Source organism: Homo sapiens, chromosome 17, assembly GCF_000001405.40.
Source record: "Homo sapiens chromosome 17, GRCh38.p14 Primary Assembly".
Classification (NCBI taxonomy): Eukaryota; Metazoa; Chordata; class Mammalia; order Primates; family Hominidae; genus Homo; species Homo sapiens.
Genome location: NC_000017.11, coordinates 47,935,468 through 47,959,998, shown reverse-complemented (window position 1 = coordinate 47,959,998; position 24,531 = coordinate 47,935,468). Strand labels below are relative to the sequence as shown.

Sequence of the window (24,531 nt, the reverse complement as noted above, 5' to 3'; positions counted from 1 at the left end):
GTGGCTGGAACCACAAGAAGGCAAATAAATGGGTTTTCTTGCACATTTACCTGCCCCAGGGAGAGTGGGACAAAGCAATTGGCTACATTAACAGTTTCTTTGGGTAAAAACAATGTTTCTGTTTCTCATTTGTGTTTTCGAGCTTGCATAAGTACCTACTGTATGTCTGGTCTGGATCAGTGATACATAATTCTGGGCTCTAAGAGCTAAAAGTCTGTAAGTGGAAACCAATCATGGTATATATATCATGTTAAATAGAAGTATATGAGCAGGTTCTATGGGAACACAGAAGGGGAAACAAGAAAACTCCTGGCGGGGTGGGAGGTGTGATCATTAATTCAGGTTCTGAGGGATGAAAAGAAGTTTCTCTTGGGTCGCACAGGTGATGGGGGGGACATTGTTACCCAAGAGCACAGCCAGCACTCCTAATCTCACCCTTCTAAGGCAGCCTCATGCCTACAAAGGCAGGCAGAGAAGAGCCTAGTGTTCAGGGAGAGTTGGCAGGGGTGGGTGTGCATGAGAGGAGGCTGCAGAGGCCCCATCCTAGGAGAGCCAGGCCAAGCGGGTTCTGCTGTGGGCTGTGGGGAGGCTTTGGAGGACTGTCCACCCAAGGACATTTTAAGGGAAGGGGGGCTATTTCAGATGGAGGAGAATACAAACCCAAGAGGCCATCAGAAGCTGGAGCGAGTAGAAGCAGGATTGGAAATGGGGGACAGCTTTAAGAGTTGGTGAGCTGGGATTTCAAATGTAACTTAGAGGGAGAGCCAGGGAAAGGGGGGATTTTATGCCTTTTCTCTACCCCGTGCCTCACCCTTTGCCTGACACGCACACCTGGTCCATGGAGGAAGGTAGCTGGTGGGTGGATTGGGCACCTAAGCTGGTAGCACTGGGCCCAGGAAGTGGCAGAGACACTGAGTATGTAGCAGATGTTTTCCACTCTCCAGCGATGCCCATCCGAGGGGAGAGAGAATGCAAGCGCAAATAGGACAGGCCACCTCCGGGTGGCTGCAAAACAACGCTCCCCAGACACGGAGCCATCTGCAAGAGCAGCCCTGGCTGAGCGCTGCACACAGCTTGGCCAATGGTGGGTTTGCAGGGGCAATGAGACTGCAGATCGGTGAGGACGAAGGCCCCTGTGCACACACACTCTACCCCTGTCCCCAACCGTGTGCCCATCCCCTGCCTTCTTGCCCTTCCTTCTCTTCCAGACTCACTAGGGACCCATCTCTCCTTTCCTTGAGAACTTGCTCCAGGTTTTGCCAACTTTATAATACCCAGGAAGGCCCTTTCAATAGACTGCTGGACATCTGGGAGGAGTTGAAGCCAGTGGCACTTTGCTAGTGGGGACACTGGCACAGGTCTCTTTGAGAGTCTGATAAAAGTATAATCTATGCAGAAAAAGCAATGCCCCTCTGCCCACAAACACGGAATTCTGCATAAGATCTCAAGGGCCTTGAAGCCCACCTCCAAGCAAAGTGGGAGAGGGATGACAATGTTTGAGGTTGTGGTGGGTCTGGAGAGCCTGGCCCGAGGAGAGGCTGTGCCCTTTTTTTTTTTCTCCCTAGGGAGATTTTTGAAGAGGGGCTCTTCAGGTCAGGAGGAAGCCACAGCCCCCAACCCAGTCCCCACTTTGAGGCTTGAGGCAGGGGAGGGACAGCCTGGGAACCGGTCTGCCAACCAGTTTAACCGGGACTGGTTTCGACTCAGGGAGTTCAAAGGAAGCTGGGGTGCACCCCGTCCTACCCAGCCTGCCAATGGAAGCAGCAGCCCTTAACTCTTTCCTGGTTGTGCCCTGGGCAACATCCAGGTGGTGGTCCATGCTGGAGAGGGGTCTGCGCCTCCTCAGAAGATGAAATGGGTGGGGTGACCCTGGCTATAGCTGGGAAGTGCAACCAGACACCCAAGAGTGGGGAAACTGAGCGAGAGCCTCCTGTGCTCCCTGACCCCAGATCTCCCTTGGGATTCCCTCCTCCTGCGTGGCGGTCCCTGGAGAACCCTGGCTTCTGGGTGGATGCAGGGGCGCTGGGATTGGATTTCTGGCATGATGAATATTCATCAGCTTGAGCCGGCCTCTGCTTCTGTTTACTTAGCCGGGAGGGGCTGGGTTTCAGGTTCACCTTGACTCCAGGAGCTGCAGCAGAGCAGGTAACAGCTCTTGCACCTGTTTCTCTTGCACCTGACGTGCAGCTGCTCCTACCCACCTCTCCTGGCTGAGCCTTGCCTGATACAGCAGCCCGGAGGCACCACTTGCTTCCCGAGTCTCACCCTCCCAGGCAGCTCCTACACTCAACTGCTTCTCTAGGAAAGGTCTCACCTCCAGCCTGGAGCAGTCGGGATTACAGGTACAGGCAGAGGGCTGGTGGGTGGGGAAACCAAGGCATAGACCCCAGTCAGAGCACCTGGTTCTGCCTCCAGGGCTGACAAGCCCAGCAGGAAAGAGGAACCCAGGCCTCTAACCTGGTCTCCACTCAAGACTCATCCCACTGGCCTCTTGGAGTCAATCCAGGCCTCCAACAGAGCTCCTGCTGAGTAGTTTTCTGTTAACCCTTGCTGAACTGGAGCCCACCCTTCTGACCCCCCAGTCTGGAGCATTTTTCCAGCTGTCTGGTAGGAACATCTCCCCATTCCTATCCAGGGTACCCCTGTCTCATCCTGCAGGCCCCCTAAGTGCCATTGGGGCCCTGCAGAGGGATGGGGGAGGGAGTTCTGGGGTTTTGTCTTACAACATATTAGCTGACTTGCTTCCCCTATCTGTCCCCCTGCCCCTCCACCTCTGCCCCAGTCAATGGTTAACTTGACCCAGCTCAGGAGGGGCCTGGCTCAGTCTGGGCAAAGCCCTTCAGAGCAGCTCACAGAACCCAGCTGGTATGGAGGGGCCTCTCCTGGGACACCCATGTGCATGCTATAGCGCTGGCCACCAAAGACAGGGGGTGGCAGGCTGTCCCATGAGGCCTTTCATGGCCCCAAAGCTGTGCAAACAGCAGAGGTGAAGCTGGCATCCTCAGGGGCTGATTTCCATCATCCCTGGATTGCAAGGCCCCAGGGCAAGGGCCCAGCCCTTAGCTCGGCCAGCTCAGGAACCTGCACGAGCTAACTGCAGGGCCCACCATGTGTCACTAAATGCTGGGTCTGTTTGAAGTCCCAAGCACCTGCCCCCACTCCCCCAACCCCTTTCAGCCCTCTGTGGTGAGGCACAGGCAGGCGGTTGTAGATATCTTGTTCTTTGCAACTTTGAGAAACTGGGAAGTTTGGATATCACATCACCTTTTTTGTTTGCTTGTTTTTAAAGCAAATCAGATTTTACACTATCTTTTATGATGACTATTTACAGATCCTACAGCTGGGTTATTTTGTAAAACAAAGAATAGTCGGCTAATTTTTCCATTTTGCAAACTCAGATTTCCATAAGTCAGGCTTGCTAATGGGGCAAACACCTGCTTACTGGTCCCCACATGTCCTCCTGGGCAGAAGAGACAGGAAGGCCTGGCAAAAAGGGTATTCTCTTTTTTTGTTGTTGTTGTTTTTTGAGAAAAGAGTCTCACTGTGTCGCCCAGGCTGGAATGCAGTGGCATGATCTCAGCTCACTGCAACCTCTGCCTCCTGGGTTCAAGGGATTCTCGTGCCTCAGCCTCCCGAGTAGCTGGGACTACAGGCATATGACACAACATCCGCCTAATTTTTTGTGTTTTTGTGTTTTTAGTAGAGATGGGGTTCCCCCATGTTGGTCAGGCTGGTCTTGAACTCCTGGCCTCAAGCAATCCTCCTGCCTCAGCCTCCCAAAGTGCTGGGATTATAGTTTGAGCCACTGCACCTGGCCTCTGGCAGAGTATTCTAGAGAGACCAGAGTACAAGGCTAGGATGCAAGGGCACCAGAGTTGATGCCTTGGTGGAGGCCCCAGGGCAGGGCACAAGGGCTGTTCCCATCTCTACAGTTTGCTGAGAAGTTCCTCGTGATCTGTGGCTCCCTTTATGCCAAGGAGAGTTAAGCCCCAGGTTTGCCAACTTGAAATACCTGTTAAAACAGGTGAATTTTAATGGCACAGGCAGAAGCCCTTTTCTCTCTGGAGCTAGAAAATCTGGTGGTTATGATAGTCTCAGGAGCTGGATCTTCTGTTTTTCCATTCCCCAAGTTCCTTGGCAGCCCCAAATGGGCAGTGGTGGGGCTGTGGGCCTCATTCCAGACAAGGCAGTGACTCGGGCACCCACAGACCAAGCAAGTGCCCTGTTCCTCCTTCTCTGCTCTCCCCCACCTCCTTCCAGAAACCCATTCTGGAACACTAAGTTCTGTACAAGGCTGTGCTAAGCCCAGGTGGGGCAAGCTGCCAAAACAAACCTCTCAGGCTGTCCCTAGGTGTGCTCACCTCTCCAGGGTGCCCTGGAAGTATTTATGGAGCCCCTCTCACTGCTCCTTCACTTTCTGAGCGGGAGCTGCACAAGATCTCCCCTCAGCTTCTCTTGCTACTTGAGCCCAGCTAAAGGGACAGAGCTGGCAATGTGGGAGCTGCTTCCCAGACAGAGAGGTGGGAAGGAATCCACCGGCTGTGTGCTCTGAGGGAGGGGGTGGGGAGCAGGAGACCAGAGCACGAGGGGTATGGATGCAGGCATTCAGCTCATCGTAAAGTCTAGGCCTGCGTCGTGCTCTCCTCTTTCCTAAATTTGATATGCTCCCCCACCCCTAAAATAATCTATACTCATCATGGAAATTCCAGAAATCAGAAAACTAGAGAAGAGAAAGCATCCTCTACTCCTACATAAAGAAAGGCACTATTGGGCTGGGCACAGTGGCTCATGCCTGTAATCCCAGCACTTTGGGAGGCCGAGGTGGGTGGATCACCTGAGGTCAGGAGTTCGAGACCAGCCTGACCAACATGGAGAAACCCCGTCTCTACTAAAAATACAAAATTAGCCGGGCGTGGTGGCGCATGCCTGTAATCCCAGCTCCTCGGGAGGCTGAAGCAGGAGAATCGCTTGAACCTGGGAGGTGGAGGTTGTGGTGAGCCGAGATCATGCCATTTTACTCCAGCCTGGGCAATAAGCAAGACTCTGTCTCAAAAAAAAAAAAAAGAAAAAAAAAAGGCACATCATTTGGAGTGTCTTTCTGGTCTTTTTCAAAAATGGAGTGAACACTTCCAGTTTTTAAAAGGAGGTGATACCCTCTAGCTTTCTGGTGTACACTGGCTGCGCCTTCCTTCCTGGGAGCTTTCACAGCCGGCAGCTAGGCATCCTGAGAACAAGACCACCGACCTCACCAGTCATCAGTGTTCCTCTACCTGTTCTGTCATTGATCTTCCTTCATCTAGCAGACTGTCATCTGCTTCTATCTTACATACCCCAGCAATCAATGATGTCCAGGCAACCTCCTCTCCGAGAAGTTCCGCTAGCTCATATAGTACCTTTGTGGAAATTAGTCAAAGGTGAGCCCCCAGGGAAGGCAGCTCCATGGCAGGACACATGGCCTGTGAGTGGAGAAGCCTGGATTTCAGCCCCAAGCCCCACCCTGCAAGGTACAACCTGTGATGACCATGTCTCCCCTGTACTTCTGGGATCCTTCTAACTGCTTTCTGCCTTTTTAGCTCCCCTTCCAACTCCTGTCCTTGTGGAAGCTTGGTGGGGAAAGGGAACCATCCCTTAGTAATTATTCCCATTATCGTAAGTTTTACTTTGCAATGCATGGTTACCTCTGTGGGCAGGGATTAACAGTAGAGCTAAATGCTAGTGCTGGATGGGATGGGTGAGGAAACTGAGGCCCAGAGAGGTGGTGGCTTGCCAGTGGTCATGAGGCTAGGACAGCCCCCAGGACTTCCCACTCCCAGCCTGAGGATCTGACTCCTGCCTTAGGAACAGCCCAGCAGTTACTTTAGCCCTGCTGGTCACCACTGGGAAGTTCAAATTGCTTGGAATGCCACTAATTATATTTAATTTTGTAATGAATTCCAAGCAAAATGCACAGGGTGTTTCCCTCCCTATGCTACCAGTCAATGGTCTGCCCATGCCTGGCAGCAGGGTCTGGTGGTATAGTGGGAAGTTTGGGAAGAGCATCAAAGGCCTGGATGCTGTGTGACTCAGGCAAGCTGTCCACCTGCCTGTGGCCCTGAGGGGCCTGGCAGGAATTATCTCAAAGCTCCTGACAACCCTGCAGGGCAATGGTGTGTGCCTGTCCCACTGCCTCTCTGTCTGGCGAGTGGCTTCCCTGTCTTGACCTTGACTTTGACCCTTTTCTTGTCTCACACTCTCCAAAAGCATTGTGTCACCCCACTGACCTGAATCTTGGGTTTATTCAGCCCTACCTTAAATTCTTTCTTTAATTCTTCTTCTTCTTCTTCTTTCTTTTTTTTTTTTTTTGAGATAGTCTCACTCTGTCACCCAGGCCGGAGTGCAGTGGCATGATCTCAGCTCACTGCAACCTCTGCCTCCCGGGTTCAAGTGGTTTTCCTGCCTCAGCCACCCGAGTAGCTGGGATTACAGGTGCGTGCCACTACGCCCAGCTAATTTTTGTATTTTTAGTAGAGCCGGGATTTCACCATGTTGGCCAGGCCTGTCTTGAACTCCTGGCCTTAGGTGATCCACCTGCCTTGGCCTCCCAAAGTGCCGGGATTATAGGCATGAAGAACCACGCCCAGCCCTTTATTTAATTCTTAAAACAGCCCATGATTAGGAGTCTGCAGCAAGCTGGTCCAAAGGCACCCACCCCCTTTTCCCACTGACCCCTTTGTCTCCCCCACCCTGCTCCAGCAGAAAGCCCCATCCTTGGCTTAGGGAGCGCCATGACGACTGAAATTGGTTGGTGGAAGCTGACTTTCCTCCGGAAAAAGAAATCCACTCCCAAAGTGCTGTATGAGATCCCTGACACCTATGCCCAAACAGAGGGAGATGCAGAACCCCCGAGGCCTGACGCTGGAGGCCCCAACAGCGACTTTAACACCCGCCTGGAGAAGATTGTGGACAAGAGCACAAAGGGCAAGCACGTCAAGGTCTCCAACTCAGGACGCTTCAAGGAGAAGAAGAAAGTGAGAGCCACGCTGGCAGAGAACCCTAACCTCTTTGATGATCACGAGGAAGGACGGTCATCAAAGTGAAGGGCTGAGGAGGGTGCTAGCACCTCTTGGCTCCCTGCCATCAGCCAGATCTGAGACAGGACCTTGCCACGCTGGCCTCTTTGGCCATAGCTGAAGCTGTGGGGCCAGTTGATACCTGCTGGCAGGAAATGGCTGTTTTTTAGGTTTGTATTTATGTGCCGCCACTTTTGTAAGGCCTGGGAGATCCCAGGGTCCTCCACCCTCCCCCTGACCACATACAAAGGCACTCTAGTTCAAGAGTGAAAAGTCTCACCCAGGAGGAACAGCCCTCCTTGAAGCAATGGCAGGGCCAGCAGGGAGGTGGGCATGGCAGGGAATGGAGAGAGTGAGCCAGACAGACTTCACCTCCTTACTGGACACAGGGTCAAGGGCGAGTTTCAATTGCTGCTCCCTTTACTTTCTCTACCTGTGACTACTCCCTGGACCAATCCTGAGGAGGGCACATTTTCCAGAAGCCACGTGATAGGGGCTGGTTTCTGTGGAGCCAGAGGCAGAGACACTGAACTTGAGCTCACCTCCTAACACCGGCAGTAAACTTCCTGGAACTTTGCCCTCAGGTGCGGAGGGGACAGAGGACCCTGGCACTCTGTTAGGGTGCTGTAGAAGACTAGATTGATGGTAGTTTGGCCTGTTAGTTCCTGTTTTGGCCATGACTTTTGCAGATGGCAAGTCACACACCCTCAAAGGGAAGCTACACGGGCCAAATCGGGGGAGTGGGTGGGGAATTTTCTCCTCTCCCTTTCCTACTATAATAGTATTTAAGACATATCAGCTCCAGAGATGAGTCCTGGAGCCTTGAATTTTGTTTAACAAAATAATTGTAGGTTTCTCTCTGTAATAACAACGCTGGAAAGGCAGAGAACCTCTTTTATGCTCATGTCTTGCATTTATTGAGATGACTGTTTCTCATGCCTTTATGTTCCTTCATGTAAGTAAAGTGGACCTTTGTGCTCAAACTGTTCCTTTCAAGCTTCAGGAAGGGTTCCCAGGTGTGACAATGTAGGAACTGGGTCACTAATTTTTACCATCAAACTAGCCTTAGTATGGGGATGGGGCAGCAGAAGGAGCTAGTTACACCTCAGTGGTCAGTTCTCTCCAGTCAACAGAGAGCCCGTCAGGTGCTCTAAGAGAGTAGGGCAGACCTTTGGTGATTGACCCCAAAGTTTCAGTGGTTTGGTTTGGGATTAAGATTCAAACTCGGGCTCTACCCCTTAGTAGCTGGGTGACCTTGGGAACATTTGCTTGTACTCTGAGCCTCAGTTTCCTCTTCTGTAAAAGGGGGCTGAAATAATACCTATCTCATAGGGAGTGGTCAGTATTAAGTGGCCTATGAGAGGTCCCATAGTAAGTGCTCAGTTTAATACTGGTTTCCTTCCCCCTTCCTTTATAAGGAACTCCACCATACCCCACAGCTTTGGTTTAAGAAAAAGGAGAAGGTGGGTATAGTGGCTCAGGCCTGTAATCCTAGCACTTTGGGGGCTGAGGTGGGAGGACTGCTTGAGCCCAGGAGTTTGAGACCAGCCTAGGCAACATAGAGAGACCCCATGTCTAAAAAAAAACCAACCAACAAACAAAAAGTAGCTGACTGTGGTGGCACATGCCTGTAGTCCTATCTACTTGGGAGGCTGAGGTGGGAGGGTTGCTTGAGTCCAGGAGTTCAAGACGACAGTGAGCCATGATTGTGGCACTGCACTACCACCTGGGTGACAGAACTAGGTCTTATCTCTAGGGGAAAAAAAAAATTAATAAATAAGAGATGCTTGGCACGGTGGCTCATGCCTGTAATCCCAGCACTTTGGGAGGCTGAGGCAGGCAGATCACCTGAGGTTGGGAGTTCAAGACCAGCCTGGCCAACATGGAGAAACCCCGTCTCTACTAAAAATACAAAATTAGCCAAGTGTGGTGGCACATACCTGTAATCCCAGCTACTTGGAAGGCTGAGGCAGGAGAATTGCTTGAACCCAGGAGGCCGAGGTTGCGGTGAGCCGAGATAGCTCTATTGCACTCCAGCCTGGGCAACAAGAGCAAAACTCCGTCTCAAAAATAAATAAATAAATAAATAAGAAAGAGGAGAGAAAGCTGTCACTTTATGAGGTTAGGTCCAGCTCTTTCTCAAGCCATAAGAGCTGGGAACTAAAAAAATGTTGGCCAAATCTCTGGAGCTCGTGGTAGAAATACAGGGAGAGACCAAGGTGGCCACTAAACAATGTGGTCCTGCGGCTTCCAGGTCAGCTCCTGGCAGGCTGCTGGGCCACCCCACCCCAGGAGCTGTTGCTCAGGGAATTTATTAGTGAAACAAACAGACCTATACAAGGGAGGCTTTGTTAGGTGCCTCGTCCCAGCCAGGGGGACCTCAAATGATGAGTAAGGGAGACCAGGAGCTGGAGGGATGGAAGTCAGGCTCAGGGGTGCTGCCTTACCCAAAGCCTCTTTCCCCTACCCCGTCCCACTACACAGAACTTTCTAGGGTCTCACCAATTACTCAATCCATGAGGCCTCCACAGAGGATCTCAGACTTTCCCTACACCGCAGCCCTGCCCAGTGTTAATAGCTAACATTTATAGGGTGCTTAAGGCAGGCAGCCCCTAGAACAAGTCCTCCCTAAGGTTGTTCATTTAATCCTATCATCACCTGAGACAGGTGCTGTCATTATCCCCATTTTTCAGACAAGTTGGCTGAGGCTTAGAGGTTAAATCACTCACCCTGGGGGCCAGGCGCTGGCATTGGTACAGCTGGGACTGAAGCCAGAGCCAGCTTGTACATGTGACCACTGTCCCACACAGCCACCTTCCACTCTTGATTCTCATCTGCTACAGGGACAGGAAACTGAAGCTCAGAACAAAGAAAAGCACAGACACCTTCTGCAGAAGGGGAAGTTGGGAGGGGAGGGAGCAACGTCTGGGTCTTAGGATCCTGGGAGGTGAGCATCACTCGAGGGGGCTGGACAAACTCTGGAAGCAGATGGATAAAGCCAACCAGCTTTGAAGCTGAGTGTCCCCTAAGACCCTAGACTACAGGTATCTCCCACATCCGCCCATTCTCGGTTTCCCTGAGGTGGGGGATAAGGATGGCCCCTGGGCCACCAACCTAAGGTTCTAGATAATACTGGCACTGTACTGCCAACTCCTCCAGTATCACCATTACCCCTCTGGGTGAGAGTATCCACAGCCCCTCTGCCCCTTGCATACTGACCCCGGCTCCATCTTCTAGGTAAAGTCCACATATGTTTCTAAGCTGGGTGGCCAGATGGATGTGGGGTAGGTACTAGAAGCCAAAGGGAGATCTGGATGCCCAGGGAAGCAGAGCGAGGCAGCTGCAAGTTTTCATGAGAACAGGGGAAGAGGAGGAACCGAGAGCGCAAATATGTGCGGCAACCGGGAGAGGCTACGGGTTATCGACCACAGTTTCACTGGGACGCGGCCCAAGCCGATGAAGGGGGAGGCCGGCTAGAAGTTGCTTTCACTGCCCGGAAGGGGCCGACCTTGGGCGGCGGGCTCCCCCTACTGGACGTACTGCCTACAAGGTGCAGAGAAGTGAGGGGACAGGAAAGTTGCTTAAATTCCCCAAGTCCCCTCCTTGGGGGTTGAGGGAGACCAGGCCGGGTTGAACATCAATAAAGTGCACGGCTGATAGGCTTTTATTACAGACTGGGGGCGGTAACGGCTGGACAGAGAACGGAAAAGGAACATCTGAGACCAGGCTCAAAGCTAGGGGGTTACACAACCTCCAATAACACAAGGTGAGTGCAGCACTTCTAGACACACACACAGACACACATCACTTACTCATAAACGGCACAGCCTACGGTACAAGAAAAAGGGCAAGGTAGGTAAGGGCACCCAACACCCTCCTGCCTGCAGGGGGCCACAGGGTTAATGTGCCTTCCTGCACGCAGGCTTAAGAGGGATAAACAAGGAGAGGGCTGCCCTTGGAGAAGGCCTGCGGATAATAGTGACTGAGGCACAGGTCCATGCAGGGGAAGGAAGCACAGTTCACAGAGTGGCAAGCTCAGTGCCAGCCAGTGCAAGCAACAGGCAGTTCTTTGATCCTGGCTTAGTCACAGCAAACATTTACCCAGCCTGGCTCTTCTCCATAGCCAGCAGGTTGCTTGCTCATCCAGTCTGTCCCTGGTTAGCGGGCATGTGCTCAAGGAGAACAAACACAGTTCAGCACAGGACTCAGCTGAGGGTCACTAAAGGATCATAGACTGTGAGGGTGGGAGGTCTTGGTTTAGAGGTTGAGTCTAGTGCAGCTGATCACCTGGGGTCTAGTGAAAATGCAGGGTCAGATTCAGTGGGTCTGGGGTCTGAATCTCTAAGGCGCTGCCAAGTGATGCTGATGCTCCTGGCTTGTGGACCACCCTGTGTATAGCAAAGCTCTAGACTAGGAGGTCTCAACCTTGGCTGCACAGAATTATCTGGGGAGTTTTTAAATTTCCCAGTGCCCAGGCTGCATTCATATCATAGTAGAGACAGGGTTTTGCCATGCTGGCCAGGCTGGTTCAATCATCTCTGAGGGTGGGACCCAGGCATCAGGGTTTTTTAAGCTCCCCAGGTAATTCCAGTGTGGGGGAAAAACCAATGAACTAGGAATTATCAGCAGAGGTGGGGAGTAAGAAAAGCAGATACGTGAGTAGTCTGAAAAACATAATCTCTATAATCATTTAATTTTTCTTTTTGGAAAATGTATGTATACATACACACAGTTTCCATAAAAAAACATAGATAGTAAAGCTGATTAAAATCTTCCTGTCCTATTGGTACCAGCACATGAAGCCCTTCTACAAAATTCCTGACGGACTGGGAATAAAAATTCCTAGTGACAGCCCACTCCTTCTCAGGCAGGTGTGATTGTTTGAAATCTCTCCCAATATTGAGATGAAACCTGCTTCCCTGTAACTTCCCTGTAATTCTGTGGGTCCCTTGTAGCCACAGAGAAGGCAGCAATCAGTAGGGGAAGTGCTATAAAAATATACTATCCCGGCCAAGCGTGGTGGCTCATGTCTGTAATCCCAGCACTTTGGGAGGCCAAGGCGGGCAGATCACTTTAGGTCAGGAGTTGGAGACCAGCCTGGCCAACATAATGAAACCCCGTCTCGCTGGGTGTGGTGGCTCATGCCTGTAATCCCAGCACTTTGGGAGGCTGAGGTGGGTGGATCACAAGGTCAAGAGATGGAGACAATCCTGGCCAACATGGTGAAACCCCATCTCTACTAAAAATACAAAAATTAGTTGGGTGTGGTGGCGTGTGCCTGTAGTCCCAGCTACTTGGGAGGCTGAGGCAGGAGAATTGCTTGAACCTGGGAGGCAGAGGTTGCAGTGAGCCAAGATCACACCACTGCACTCCAGCCTGGGTGACAGAGTGAGACTCCATCTCAAAAAAAAAAAAGAAAAGAAAAAAGAAAAAAAGAAAAAAAAAAGTCCTATCCGTAAATGAGTTAGTTAAGTTGTAATCAACAGAAATAGATTCTAGCTAGATTAAGTAAAAAAAAAAAAAAGAGAGAGAGAGACTTTACAGAGATAGTGGGGTGTTTTAAGGCAGGGGGAGGAACTGCACAGCCCAGACCTGGGAGGGAGGGATCCAGGGAAGGAGAGATCCTGGGAATTGCAATAGCAGCAGGCAGAGGCTTTTGGTTCCTATTGTTTCCTGGCTGCTATGAATGACTTGGCTTTAATGACTCCCAAGGTTCTGGATCTCTCCAGTTCAAATTTCAAATTATTGACAAAACAATCTGATTGGCCAGGTTGGCTCAGGTGCATATGCTAGGACTAAGCTTTGGCCAGTATGACTCACATGGTAACAGACAGGGCTGCTGGGGCCCTGTCTGTCACCAGAAAGGGAGTCACACCGGCTGCTACCCCTAGAGGGAGCTATCCTAATCAATCATAGGCAAGGTCAAAAAAATAATTATGGAATTATTTTCCATTTGTGATTCTCTACGCCACCATTACACTCCACTTGACCAGCTAACTGAGAACCAACTGAGTACAGAGAACTTAGAGGATTAGCTCTGAAGAGTCCTGAAGATAAGGGGTAGGGAGGGAAATGGGTTGAGTTTAGAAAGAAGGGCCTGGGTCCCAATCCCACACCCTCTCTTGACACCTAGCCCTAGCTCCACTCTGGGCCAGCAGGTCCCAGAGTTAAGGTGCAAGTCTCTCATAGAGCCAGTCTTCCTCCCCGCGGTGGGTCATGGGCCCCAAAGGGGAATCTCCTGTGGGTAGGCCCCGCCGAAAGACTATCCGGTCATGCAGGCGGTTGGTTTGACCTTGCCAGAACTCCATCACCTGAGGGTACAGGACATAGCCACCCCTATAAGGAGAAGCAGAGGTTTCAGTGCTCTGTGGAGTTTTCTAGCCAGGTCACTCTCCCACCCTCACCCCTCATCCCAGGGCCTCTTGAAGGAAGTTGCTGGGATGCATCTGACAAGGGTGGCCAGGGAGGAGGAGATCTGTGATTCCCCAGGCAGGTGGCTTCAAGTAAACACAGGGGCCTGGTGTCCCTTTCTAGAGGACTACCAGATGTCACTCACCAGGATTTTGGCTTGGGCACCTCTTGATCCTGGTAGAGCTGTTCCAGTTCCTCATTTTTCTTTCTCAGATACTGTCCAGGGGGAAGAGTTAGAAGAAGGGCCAGGCCCAGTCAATGATTCATTAACAAGGACTTCCTGGGGATATGTGCTGGGGACATGGGTGAGCAGAGCAGACTGGCCTCTGTCCTCCAGGAGCAGTCAACAGGATGGCCAGATGGACAGAGGAGGCCTATTTCCCCTCTCCCTACCCCCACTTTCCCTTCTCACTGTCCTTTTCACTGTTTTCACTGGGCTGGAGAGAGAGGACATCTCCTGGGGACATCTCCTGGCATCTCCTGGGGACAGCTTCTGGGGATAAGCCAAAGCCTCCACCACCTGGAGGACTACAGCGGAGCTCCACTCACCTCCCGATCAGGGATCACAGAACTCTGGTGGCTGACCACAGCCCCAATCTGGCTGCTCTTGGGGCGGGAGTGGAAGTAGCACTCAGCCTCCTCCTCAGGCAGTTTCTTCACAGGGCCTTCCACACGCACCTGCTCAGGGATGGCTCTGGGTGAATGGCATTAAATGCCACCTGCCCTCCCTACCAGCACAGGCCCCGTTCCTCTCTGTTCGATCGGCTGCCCCACCACTCTTGGCTCCAACTAACTGAGGGCTATTTTAGAGGCAGAGTGCCCAGCTGGGATGTTTGCCCAGTCTGGGGACCTTCGCTAGACGTAGCCATAAACTCAGGCCCTGCCAACCCAGCCCATCCCAGGCTGTCCTGGGAAAATTCACTCACCTGACGGTTAAGTGGCTCCCAGTAGAAGACAAGGGAAGCAAAGGGATTAGAGTCCTAGAAGTAAAAGAGAATCCACAGCCAGCCATCAGGACAGGGAGAGGAGGCCTCCGGCATGCAGGGAAAAGGCAGGAGAGCTGTAGTGCGCAGGCCCACAGCAGATGCACCCACCGTAAGAGCTCATTTAAACCCTCAAAAGTAGGCCTATTGTCACAGACACAGAGACAGGCTAAGTCACGTGCCCAAGTTCCTGCAGGAAGTGGTGGAGCTAAGTTTAAGCCAGTCGGACTCCAAAGTGAGACTGGGTGATTTCTCTCACCCACAGATTTGTGAGTCTTGAGAAATGCATGCTTGGCTGGCATGGACTCAGGGAGGTTTACTCATTTTGGATTCATTCATTGAATGCACGCGAAGTGCCCACTCTGGGTCTGACAACAGGAGACGTGCGGGGGATACAGCAGAGATAAAACAGAGCAGCCTCCACTCCTACAGAGCTTACTGTTGAGCAGAGGAGACAAATATCAGTTACATAATCACCCAAACAAATGCTCAGTTACAAACTGAAGAAGAAGACAAAAAAGAAAGTTGCAAGTTATAATGGCAGCAAACAGCATGAGGGGCTGAGTCTGAGTGAGAGTCAAGGAAGGCCTTCCTGAGGAGGTAACATGTGGGCTGAGATCTGAAGGAACAGGTCATGGCTGATGGGGTGAGGCTGGTTAGAAAGTGCATTCATTCATTTATGGCAAAGAGCACAGCAAGTGCCAAGGCCTCATGGCAGGAGGGCACCTGCACACAGAGAGCAAGTAGACTGGGGGGGTGGGGTGGCATAAGAAGGTGACTGAGGAAGCAAGAGCCAAACCCTGCAGGCCCTGGGAAAGATTACTAGCTCTTTTCACCCACCAGCTCTTTTCCTTTTCGACTCTCGAAGTTAGTGAAGAAGCGGAAGCCATCTTTCCCGAAGCCCTTCAGCAGCAACATGCGAGCAGAGGGTTTTCCATCTCTAGGAGCAAAGAGCAGAGCACTGTGGTCAGAGTCTGCTTCAATGTTCTGGCTATAGTCCCTCTCCCCAAAGGATGTCTCAGCACCCCCTCCAGCTGCACCCCCTTTATTGGGCTGTCAGGCTACCCCGTCCCATGTGCTCCTGGGGATTTGTCCTAGAGGTATGACACCACAGCCTGGGGCCCTGTTATGGGCTGAATTGTGTCACCCCAAACCCCTATGTTAAAGCCTTAAACCCCAATGTGACTGTATTTGGAGAAGGGGACCTTATGGAGGTAATTAAGGTTAAGTAAGGTCATAGGGGTGGGGCCCTAATCCAGTAGGACTGGTGTCACTGTAAGAGAAGAGACACTTCAGAACCACCTCCCTTGCCCTCCACAACACACACACACACACACACACACACACACACACACGAAAGGCAGTGTGAGGACATGGTAAAAAGTAGCTGTCTGCAAACCCCAAGCAGAGGCCTCATCAGAAACCACCCCTGATGGCACCTTGATCTTGGACTTCCAGCCACCAGAACTATAAGGAAATAAACTCCTGTTGTTTAAGCTATCCAGTCTACAGTATTTTGTTAAGACAGCCCTAGCAAATTCATAAGACCCTAAGGGCAGGGACTAACAATAATGCAATCATCCAATGCTTCGGGATCACAGTGGTGCTATGAGATCAGCCCCTCTGCTCAGAGCTCTGGGAGATATCCACTCGCACAGTACAAGAGCACTGGCTACAAGGCCTTACACTTTATCGAGGAGAATTGAATAACAGGCTAATACAAGTGATGTCTCAAAGGGCATATGATTGTCAAAGGAATGATATAGTCAAGCACTGTGCTAGATTTCGAGAGAGAGACAGAGCTTCACCAGGAGAAGTAGCTCCTGAATGGCAGACGGGGCTTGGGTAGATGGGGAGATGAGGGAGGCAAGGGGTTGTGTGTGGATGTATCAAGGGCAGAAATGAACAAGGCACTGCATTTTTATCACTGAAATGTAATTTTGTGGCCTGGTCTTTGGTTTATAGGTAAGGACACAGGCCCAGAGAGGACAAGTATCTTGCCTAAAGCCACAGAGCATGTTAATAACAGAGCTGGAACCATAAAATTGGCATCCAGAGTAGAGAGCTTCATAAGCTTCCTAGTTCATATGTATCCACCCAAAGAGGGGCCCACAGCCATGCCCACCTGGTGCAGGTAGCCAGACACATGGCATTGGCTTCCCCTATGTCAGGACACTGAACAGCCTCCTCAAACCAGGCAGCAAACTGTTTCACTGGGTCAAGGGAGGTCAGATGAGTCTCCTCAAATGCCTAGGAAAGGAGATTTATTTCATTTAATAAACATATATAGTGCTTACTATGGACCTGGCACTGTTCTAGTCACTTTTCAAAAATCAACTCATTTAGTCCTCATGACAATGACCTTAAAATAAGAAATAGTATGCAGTAAGAAGATTCTGTGCCCCATTTTACAGGTGAGGAAACAGGCATAAAAACTCAGACAACTTGCTGTCCCACAGCTAGTGATGGATAAATCAGGGTTACATGTCATGGGTGTCAAAACTGTCTGTGCATCAGAATCACCTGGGGAGCATAAAAAAAACTTTCTGGGCTCCACCCCCAAAATTTCTCATTCAGCAGGTCTGAGGCTTCATCAAAAACTGCATTTTTATTTATTTATTTATTTATTTTAGACAGGGTCTCACTCTGTCACCTAGGCTGGAGTGCGGTGGTGTGATCTCGGCTTACTGCAGTCTCAACTTCCTGAGCTCAAGCAATCCTCCAACCTCATCCTCCCAAGTAGCTGGAATTACAGGCACGCTCCAACATGCTCGACTAATTTTAATTTTTTGTAGAGACAGGGTCTCACTATGTTGCCCAGGCTGGAAAAACTGCATTTTAAACAAGCGTTTCTAGAAATGCCCACATGCAACCAGATTTGGCAACCAGGGCCCTGGACCCCAATTCCTAAAAGGTTCTCTTGGTTCCCCTCCTGAGGAGCGAAAAGGAAAAGAACTTCCCAGTGGTCAGCAGAAAGTACTGAAGGCAGTAAGCTAAGAGCTTTCTCCTCCCCTCCTCCCCGAGCTAGTCCCCTTCCCCCATATTCCACTTACTTTTTTGTCAAACAGTTTGTAAGCTGTTTGTCACTGTACCCACCTAAAGAGGGGCCCATGACCATGCCCACCTGGCACAAGGAGGTTTGGGTGACCCCCAAATCTCCTTGCCCCAGGGGGTGGCCCCAGAAGCCCTGAGGGGCTGTTTCCTCCTACTCCCCTCCCCCCAGTAGATGACTCCGAGGACCCCTCTTCCCCCGCCCTTGAGGGAGGCCCAGCACAGTCCTGACATCCATCACATGAAACCCCGATTCATTCATCACTAGCTGTGGGACTGAGCAAGTTATTTGACCTTGCTACCTGTCGAGTAGCAGGGTTCTAAGCACTTTACAAACATCTTAGACCATAACATCCCCGTGAGGCAGATACTATCACTTCCCAGATGAGGAAACTGAGGCCCAGATACATTAAACATTCCAACCCAGGCAGGCTCCAAAGTTCGAGCTCTTACCCATTACGAAAGGCTGCCTTTTGAACCCATCTTCATTTGCGTTTCCCCGGAACTCCTCCCCTGGTGGGATGTCTTTGAAGCCCCCTTTTCCCACGGGGGGTGATCCTCAAACCTCCTTGCCCCACCGGGTGGCCCCAGAAGCCCCGAGGGGCTCCTACTACTCCCCTCCCCGCTGTAGATGACTCCGGGGACCCCTTTTCCCCCGCCCCTGCAGGAGGCCTGGCCCTAGCGGCGGCACCTCTCGGTCCCCGCGGTAACTCTTGCGCATGGGTCCCAGGTCCATGGCAGCACTGCGACCACACAGGTGACTGAGGTAGCCTGGCCACTCGGCAGGTCGCCCGAACGTCGCCGTGACGCCCCGCAGCCAGCACGTCATGGGGGGCCGCCGGCCACGTGACCCGGCTGTGGCCCGGCACTGGGTTCCTTTGAGTTCGGAACCAATTTCTCACCCTGGACTTCTACCCCGGGGAAGGAAGGATTTGCCAGTCGCCCAACCAAGCTAACAGGTCCTAAGTCCTCGGAGCCAATGAGTTTCCAGGATCGGAGGAGGGAGACAGACACGGAGAGGTCATTGGTTGGAGCTTTTCGGTAACGAGGCCAATTAGAGCGAGAACAGAGGAACCCAGCGGCCAATGGGTAGCGCCTTTGGGGGCGGGAGCAGAGAGACAAGGAAATGCTGTCACCGCGGTTAACACGCACGTGGAGGTTGGTTAAAGGTATAGGAGGATCTCTTGCAGCTCAGGCGGGGCGGAGGATGTGTCCCGGGGGCTTGAGGGGAGTAGTCAGTATTAAGTGGCTGGCCCATAGTAGGTGCCTGTAGGTGAGCTTAGGGCAGGAAGTACCCCCTGGGAAGGGAGACTAGTGGAATGGGAAAAGAAAAATGGAAAATGGAATTAGGGGCCAGACTCTGAGGCAAGGTGATGGGGACACATAGAGAAAAGGGTAATCTGGTTGTGGGGAGAAATTAGGGCATGAGAGTGGGAGAGGTTGAAATGACTTGTGGACCATGCCCCGAGTGGGGAGGTGCAGTGGGGTGAGGAAGAGACGGTGAGGTGAGAAGGAAGATGGCTGAATGGGAAGGGGGAAGAAGGAAATTTGGGACCAAGGTATCCCAGACCAGAGTGGTTTTCCTCTTCTAGTTTTGGTTTTGTTTTGTTTTGTTTGAGACGGAGACTAGCTCTGTCGCTCAGGTTGGAGTGCAGTGGCGCGATCTCGGCTCACTGCAACCTCCACCTCCCGGGTTCAAGCAATTCTCTGCCTCAGCCTCCCGGGTAGCTGGGATTACAGGCGCCCGCCACCACGCCCGGCTAAGTTTTGTATTTTTAGTAGAGACGGTGTTTCACCATGTTGGCCAGGCTAGTCTCAAACTCCTGATCTCAAGTGATCTACCCGCCTTGGCCTCCCAAAGTGCCGGGATTATAGGCGTGAGCCACCGCGCCCGCCACCTCTTCTAGTTTTAAACCCCTTCCCTCCAGCCTCATTTATTTAAGCAAGGGTCAGAGCATTTTACTCCCTTTGCTCATGGTTTCCCCTGCCATGGTGCACTGGAGTTCATAGGAGCCAGTGTCCTGGTAGATAGCAAGGCTGCCAATGTCCCATTTCTCCAGGGTCTCCCCAATCTTTGTCAAGCTTCCCTTTTTCCACATTTTGCCCATGCTAGGTAGTAGGAGTCTAGCCCCTAGGTCAATGCAAGCAATTGCCAACTGAGAGTACACTGAGCAGGTGGCTGTGCATAGCCTTTCCAGGCTGTGGATGCAAGGCTGAAAAATGGGAAACCCACTCATGCCCAGTCCAATTCTGAGCTGGCTGGGGCGGCCTTGGGTCGAGACCTCTCTGTAGCCCTGCTTTCCACCAGCATCAGGAAGGGGAACTGCAAGAGCCATCTAGGCAGGCACCCAGGACTGTGCCAGGTAAGGGGAACTTCCTGGCCTGGCCAGGTGTCTGCATTACAGCTGAGCTTCATGAAGCCCTACATTAGATACCTGTCATCCTTTATGTGTACATAGCTTGAGCCAGATAGAATCTGGAAGACAATTTTGCTGCAAAGAAATAATACATGTCTCAAGGCTTAATGATATTGGTCTATGGATTCTCCACTGGTTGGATTTTTTTGTGCTGCCATCATTTTCCTCCATCAGCATAATTGAGAGAAAGTTGAGTAGATTTACTTTCCTGTTGAAGTTGTCTTTCTTTTTTTTTTTTTTTTTTTTTTTTTTTGAGATGGAGTCTTGCTCTGTCGCCCAGGCTGGAGTGCAGTGGCGCAATCTCGTCTCACTGAAAGCTCTGCCTCCCGGGTTCACGCCATTCTCCTGCCTCAGCCTCCCAAGTGGCTAGGACTACAGGCGCCCGCCACCACGCCCAGCTAATTTTTTGTATTTTTAGTAGAGATGGGGTTTCACCACGTTAACCAGGATGGTCTCGATCTCCTGACCTTGTGATCCGCCTGCCTCAGCCTCCCAAATGCTGGCATTACAAGCGTGAGCCACCGCACCTGGCCGAAGTTGTCTTTCTGTATAAGAACATTGCTGTACTCCTGCCCTCCTAAGCCCCTGCAGTTGAACCTGTGTAAGCAGTAGTGAGTGCACTTCAACTCAGATGGGTTTGGTTCATGGGTTTTTTTTTTTTTTTTTTTTGAGACAGAGTCTCCCTCTGTCACTCAGGCTGGAGTGCAGTGGCGCAATCTTGGCTCACTGCAACCTCTGCCTCCTGGGTTCAAGCCATTCTCCTGCCTCAGTCTCCCAAGTAGCTGGGATTACAGGCGTGTGCCACCACACCTGGCTAATTTTTTGTAATTTTAGTAGAGATGGGGTTTCGCCATGTTGGCCAGGCTGGTATGGAACTCCTGACCTCAAGTGATCCACCCACTTCGGCCTCCCAAAGTGCTGGGATTACAGACGTGAGCCACCGTGCCTGGCCATGGGGTTTTTCTTCACACTCAGCACTCCTGGGCTGCTGCTACCCTGGACCTGGATTCTAGGACACCAAGACTAAGATCATCTATGTACTTAAAAGCCAACAGCTCAGTATAGTGGAAGTAGATACATATTTATGTATTAATTCAGTAGACATTTGTTAAATACTTCCTTTGGACCGGGCACTGAACCAGGTCTGAGAATATTGAGATGAAGATGACAACCCGGGCTTGTAGTCTATAGGGGGAGGCAGATTTGTGAGCTTAAGAGTTGTTGCAGATTTTTTTTTTTTTTTTTTTTTGAGACAGAGTCTCACCCTTTCACCCAGTCTGGAGTGCAGTGGCACAATGTTGGCTCACTGCAACCTCCGCCTCCTGGGTTCAAGAGATTCTCTTGCCTCAGCCTCCTGAGATATTTTAACGGGTGTTTCTGTACAGTAAAGAGGAGCAAAAAGAAGAGGATCAAACAGTCAGGAAAGGCTTTGTAAAGGGAGTGGACATTTGATGTCTTAATGAGTAAGTTTTCGCTAGATGGACAATGGAACAGGCGTCCCAGCAAGAGGGAACATTGTGAGTAAAGGCATGGTGCACTTGGGGGAACCTGGAGACATGTAATACTGCTGGAGCAAAGGTGATGAGAAAACAAGCTGAACAAGCAGGCAGGGATAGGTGCTCCTTGCTGCAGAGTCATCATGCAGGTGCCCAGGGTCAGGCTTTTAGACACAATGATTCTGATATTTTATCCTGTGATATTTTTTAGCCTGTGAACCAGTGTCTAGTTCCTGCTTTTTAAAGACCAGATGGGGAGAAAAAGTGCTAGATTCTGACAGCGTCTCCTTCCCTTGGCGATTAGCAAAGAAGTGTGCAGTTGATTGCCCTTTTGTATTTTTCCCTTTGTCTTGAGGATAATAAGTAGACTTGGGTTATGTTTTTCTGCTTAGTTGGATTTGGTTTCTGGGTCACAAAGCAGCCCCTCAGTGCACAACCAGAAGGGAAACAAGCCTGCTAGCTACTTTTGCTACTGACGCAACCACGAGCAGGGACTTTCTGAGTGGGAGAAAGGAATTATTTTACTGTTTCAGTCTTCTCTTGAGAAAGTCTTAAATGAATAGAAAATACATAGTAACATTTTTATTGTACAGAGAGGCACACTGGTTTCTCAAGATGAAACAAAAAAGTCTGCATGGCCGGGTGTGGTGGCTTATGCCTATAATCCCAGCACTTTGGGAGGCCGAGGTGGGTGGATCACTTGAGGTCAGGAGTTTGAGACCAGCCTGGCCAACATGGTGAAACCCTGTCTGTACTAAAAATACAAAAATTAGCCAGGCATGGTGGCGGGCACCTGTAATCTCAGCTACTTGGGAGGCTGAGGCACGAGAATGGCTTGAACCCGGGAGGCGGAGGTTGCAGTGAGCTGAGATCGTGCCACTGCACTCCAGCATTGGCAACAGAGCAAGACTCAGTCTCAAAAGAAAAAAAAAAAAAACGGTCTGCATGTGGGTTTGGGGACTGTGCCTTGCCTGTTTTCTTCTAATGCTTTTCCTTTTTTTTTTTTTTTTTTTTTTGAGACAGAGTCTCACTCTGTTGCCCAGGCTGGAGTGCAGTGGTGCAATCTGGGCTCACTGCAACCTCCGCCTCCCAGGTTCAAGCAATTCTCCTTTCTCAGCTTCCCGAGTAGCTGGGATTACAGGTGTCTGCCACCATACCTGGCTAATTTTTTGTATTTTTAGTAGAGAGGGGGTTTCACTGTGTTGGCCAGGCTGGTTTCGAACTCCTGGCCTCAAGTGATCCACCCTCCTTGGCCTCCCAAAGTGCTGGGATTATAGGCGTGAGCCACCACACCCAGCTACGTTTACTTTCTTAAACCACCTTTTTTCTAATTATCTGACTAAATTATGTATTTCAGTTTTACTTTAGTGATTGGATTTGTGTTTTGGAACCTGGCTCTGGTGACCAAATGGGTGATGAGCAAGGGAGGGTCAGGCTGGTGGCAGGGATAGGTTGGGAGAAGCTGTGGTGTTGTCTAAGTGGAAGGTGGGGGCAGGATCCTGATGCATGAGTATGGCGTAGGGCATGTGGAGAGGAGGGATCCACCCACCAGGGCTGGCTTTAGGTGACACAGGTGGTGCTGTTCATTGAAGTGGGGCTTGTTGGAGGAGGAGGTTTGGGGGAAAGGTGAATTCCTTAGCAACATTTTGAGTGTGAGGGTTGATGGGACACCCATGTTTGGCCAGGTTGGATAATGGAGTCTGGAGCTTCGTGGGGAGGTCAGGGCTGATGATACTGGTTTAGGTAGCATGAGCCTCGAGGTGGCACTTAGAGCCACGAGGGAGGATGAGAATGTCTGAGAAGGGAAGAGGGCCTGGGAGAGTTAGGGAGGGTGGTAGGGAAATGGAGAGTCAAGGAGGAGTGGTAATGATGCTGGTGAAATATAGCATCCAGCTTTCTTTTTTTTAATTTTTTTTTATTTTTTGAGATGGAGTTTCGCTCTTGTCACCCAGGCTGGAGTGCAGTGGCATGATCTCGGTTCACTGCAAACTCCACCTCCTGGGTTCAAGCAGCTCTTCTATCTCAGCCTCCTGAGTAGCTGGGATTACAGGCATGCATGACCACACTCGGATAATTTTTGTATTTTTAGTAGAGACGGGGTTTCACCATGTTGGCCAGGCTGGTCTCAAACTCCTGACCTCAGGTGATCCGCCTGCCTCAGCCTCCCAAAGTGCTGGGATTACAGGTGTGTGCCACCATGCCCGGCCTGTGTCCAGCTTTCTAAGAGGTGAGAGGAAGAAGGCTGATAGCAGAGCAAGGGGTGTGCTGGAGGGCCTGAAGCTCAGGAATTCTTGGGCCCAGCCTTGAAGTGAACTCAGCTTGGAGCCCCAAGAGTAGCAACACCAGGACTTACAGAAGGGCGTGTGCTTGGTGCTCTGCCAGCAGATGCCTAAGCCCTGAGTGGGTTTATCAGAGGCCCAAGGGAGGTGGGTCCTCAGAGGCTTGGGACGAGATCAGAGGAGGCTGAAACTTATCGGTGTCCTGCCTGTTGGTGCTTGTGGCTAACCCTCTAAACGATCCTTGCATGTGCTTATAGATGGCTTCCCAAATACATTGTGGGTGGCTGGTATTCCCTGTTAGAATGGGACCTCCTTCACGAGAGGGACCACATCTCTTAACTTTCTCTGGCTTCTTCTCACAATCCTAGCCCACAAGGTGTGCTCAAAAAATGCTAATCTGTAATGTTTATGCATAAACCACTTTTTTAAGCTTTTCAGTATGATGGGTGTTACGTATGGTGAGTAGGGTGCAGGACATTTTTGCACATGGTGGGAGCAGGGCTGAGTGTGTGTTTTGTTGTTTTGGTTTTTTTTCTTTTCTTTCGTTTTTTTTGTTTGTTTGTTTGTTTGTTTGTTTTTTGAGACAGGGTCTTACTCTGTTGCCCAGGCTGGAATACGGTGGCACACTCATAGCTCACTGCAGCCTTGACCTCCTGGGCTTAAGAGATCCTCCCACCTCAGCCTCCTAAGTAGCTGGGAGTGTAGGCACATACCACCATGGCTGGCTAATTTTTTTATTTTTGTAGAGATGGGGTCTCACTATGTTGCTCTTGGTCTCAAACCCCTGGGCTCAAGCAGTCCTCCTACCTCAGCCTCCCAAAATGCTGGGATTATAGGCATGAGCC

At 51.0% G+C, this 24,531-nt stretch overlaps 2 protein-coding genes and 1 long non-coding RNA gene across 10 annotated transcripts in view, besides 4 other annotated features; 2 read left to right on the top strand and 1 right to left on the bottom strand.

Annotated features, from left to right (window-relative positions):
• Nucleotides 1,557–2,502: an enhancer, noted in NCBI's record as "H3K4me1 hESC enhancer chr17:46034863-46035808 (GRCh37/hg19 assembly coordinates)". NCBI's record gives its function as "activates a minimal SCP1, AML or CMV promoter by ChIP-STARR-seq in naive H9 embryonic stem cells {active_cell/tissue: H9 hESC(naive)}" and the evidence as "EXISTENCE:reporter gene assay evidence [ECO:0000049][PMID:30033119]".
• PRR15L (proline rich 15 like) lies at nt 2,116–8,032 on the top strand. 6 transcript variants are annotated; one of them, XM_005257666.5, is made up of 3 exons: nt 2,116–2,342; nt 2,783–2,865; nt 6,736–8,032. In XM_005257666.5, the coding sequence occupies exon 3, from the start codon at nt 6,765–6,767 to the stop codon at nt 7,074–7,076; it is 312 nt and encodes a 103-aa protein (XP_005257723.1). In that variant the 5' UTR covers nt 2,116–2,342; nt 2,783–2,865; nt 6,736–6,764; the 3' UTR covers nt 7,077–8,032. The 6 variants fall into 6 exon arrangements, with proteins under 6 accessions (XP_005257723.1, XP_047292696.1, NP_077296.1 ...); XM_047436740.1 differs by having other exon boundaries at nt 6,733–8,032; NM_024320.4 differs by lacking the exon at nt 2,783–2,865.
• Nucleotides 2,503–3,448: an enhancer, noted in NCBI's record as "H3K4me1 hESC enhancer chr17:46033917-46034862 (GRCh37/hg19 assembly coordinates)". NCBI's record gives its function as "activates a minimal SCP1, AML or CMV promoter by ChIP-STARR-seq in naive H9 embryonic stem cells {active_cell/tissue: H9 hESC(naive)}" and the evidence as "EXISTENCE:reporter gene assay evidence [ECO:0000049][PMID:30033119]".
• Nucleotides 9,721–9,950: an enhancer, noted in NCBI's record as "active region_12320". NCBI's record gives its function as "activates an Ori minimal core promoter by ATAC-STARR-seq in GM12878 lymphoblastoid cells {active_cell/tissue: GM12878}" and the evidence as "EXISTENCE:reporter gene assay evidence [ECO:0000049][PMID:35858748]".
• Nucleotides 10,691–18,428, bottom strand: PNPO (pyridoxamine 5'-phosphate oxidase). Of its 2 annotated transcripts, NM_018129.4 has the most exons (7): nt 18,186–18,428; nt 16,569–16,693; nt 15,284–15,383; nt 14,387–14,440; nt 14,010–14,138; nt 13,606–13,676; nt 10,691–13,385 (listed from the first exon to the last, which is right to left on the bottom strand). In NM_018129.4, exons 1-7 carry the CDS (start codon nt 18,321–18,323, stop codon nt 13,217–13,219), a joined length of 786 nt encoding a protein of 261 aa, NP_060599.1. In that variant the 5' UTR covers nt 18,324–18,428; the 3' UTR covers nt 10,691–13,216. The 2 variants fall into 2 exon arrangements, with proteins under 2 accessions (NP_060599.1, NP_001423234.1); NM_001436305.1 differs by lacking the exon at nt 14,010–14,138.
• Nucleotides 18,382–18,676: an enhancer, noted in NCBI's record as "tiled region #5948; K562 Activating DNase unmatched - State 1:Tss". NCBI's record gives its function as "activates a minimal TATA promoter and a strong SV40 promoter by Sharpr-MPRA in K562 cells {active_cell/tissue: K562}" and the evidence as "EXISTENCE:reporter gene assay evidence [ECO:0000049][PMID:27701403]".
• SP2-AS1 (SP2 antisense RNA 1) overlaps nt 18,595–24,531 on the top strand; it is a 43,019-nt gene continuing 37,082 nt past the window's right edge. The window contains exon 1 of one of the 2 annotated variants that reach the window (NR_103857.1): nt 18,595–18,652. This is a non-coding gene — a long non-coding RNA (SP2 antisense RNA 1). Of the gene's footprint in view, nt 18,664–24,531 lie in introns of both variants that reach the window. The other variant, NR_103856.1, reaches the window with a different exon arrangement.

Coding starts and splice junctions, on each gene's coding strand:
- PRR15L (NM_024320.4), top strand. CDS start 6,765: ATGACGACTGAAATTGGTTGGTGGAAGCTGACTTTCCTCCGGAAAAAG.
- PNPO (NM_018129.4), bottom strand. CDS start 18,323: ATGACGTGCTGGCTGCGGGGCGTCACGGCGACGTTCGGGCGACCTGCC. Junction 14,441..15,283: donor GTCGAAAAGGAAAAGAGCTG/GTGGGTGAAAAG, acceptor TTTTACTTCTAG/GACTCTAATCCCTTTGCTTC. Junction 14,139..14,386: donor GGGAGCCACTTAACCGTCAG/GTGAGTGAATTT, acceptor ATCCCTGAGCAG/GTGCGTGTGGAAGGCCCTGT.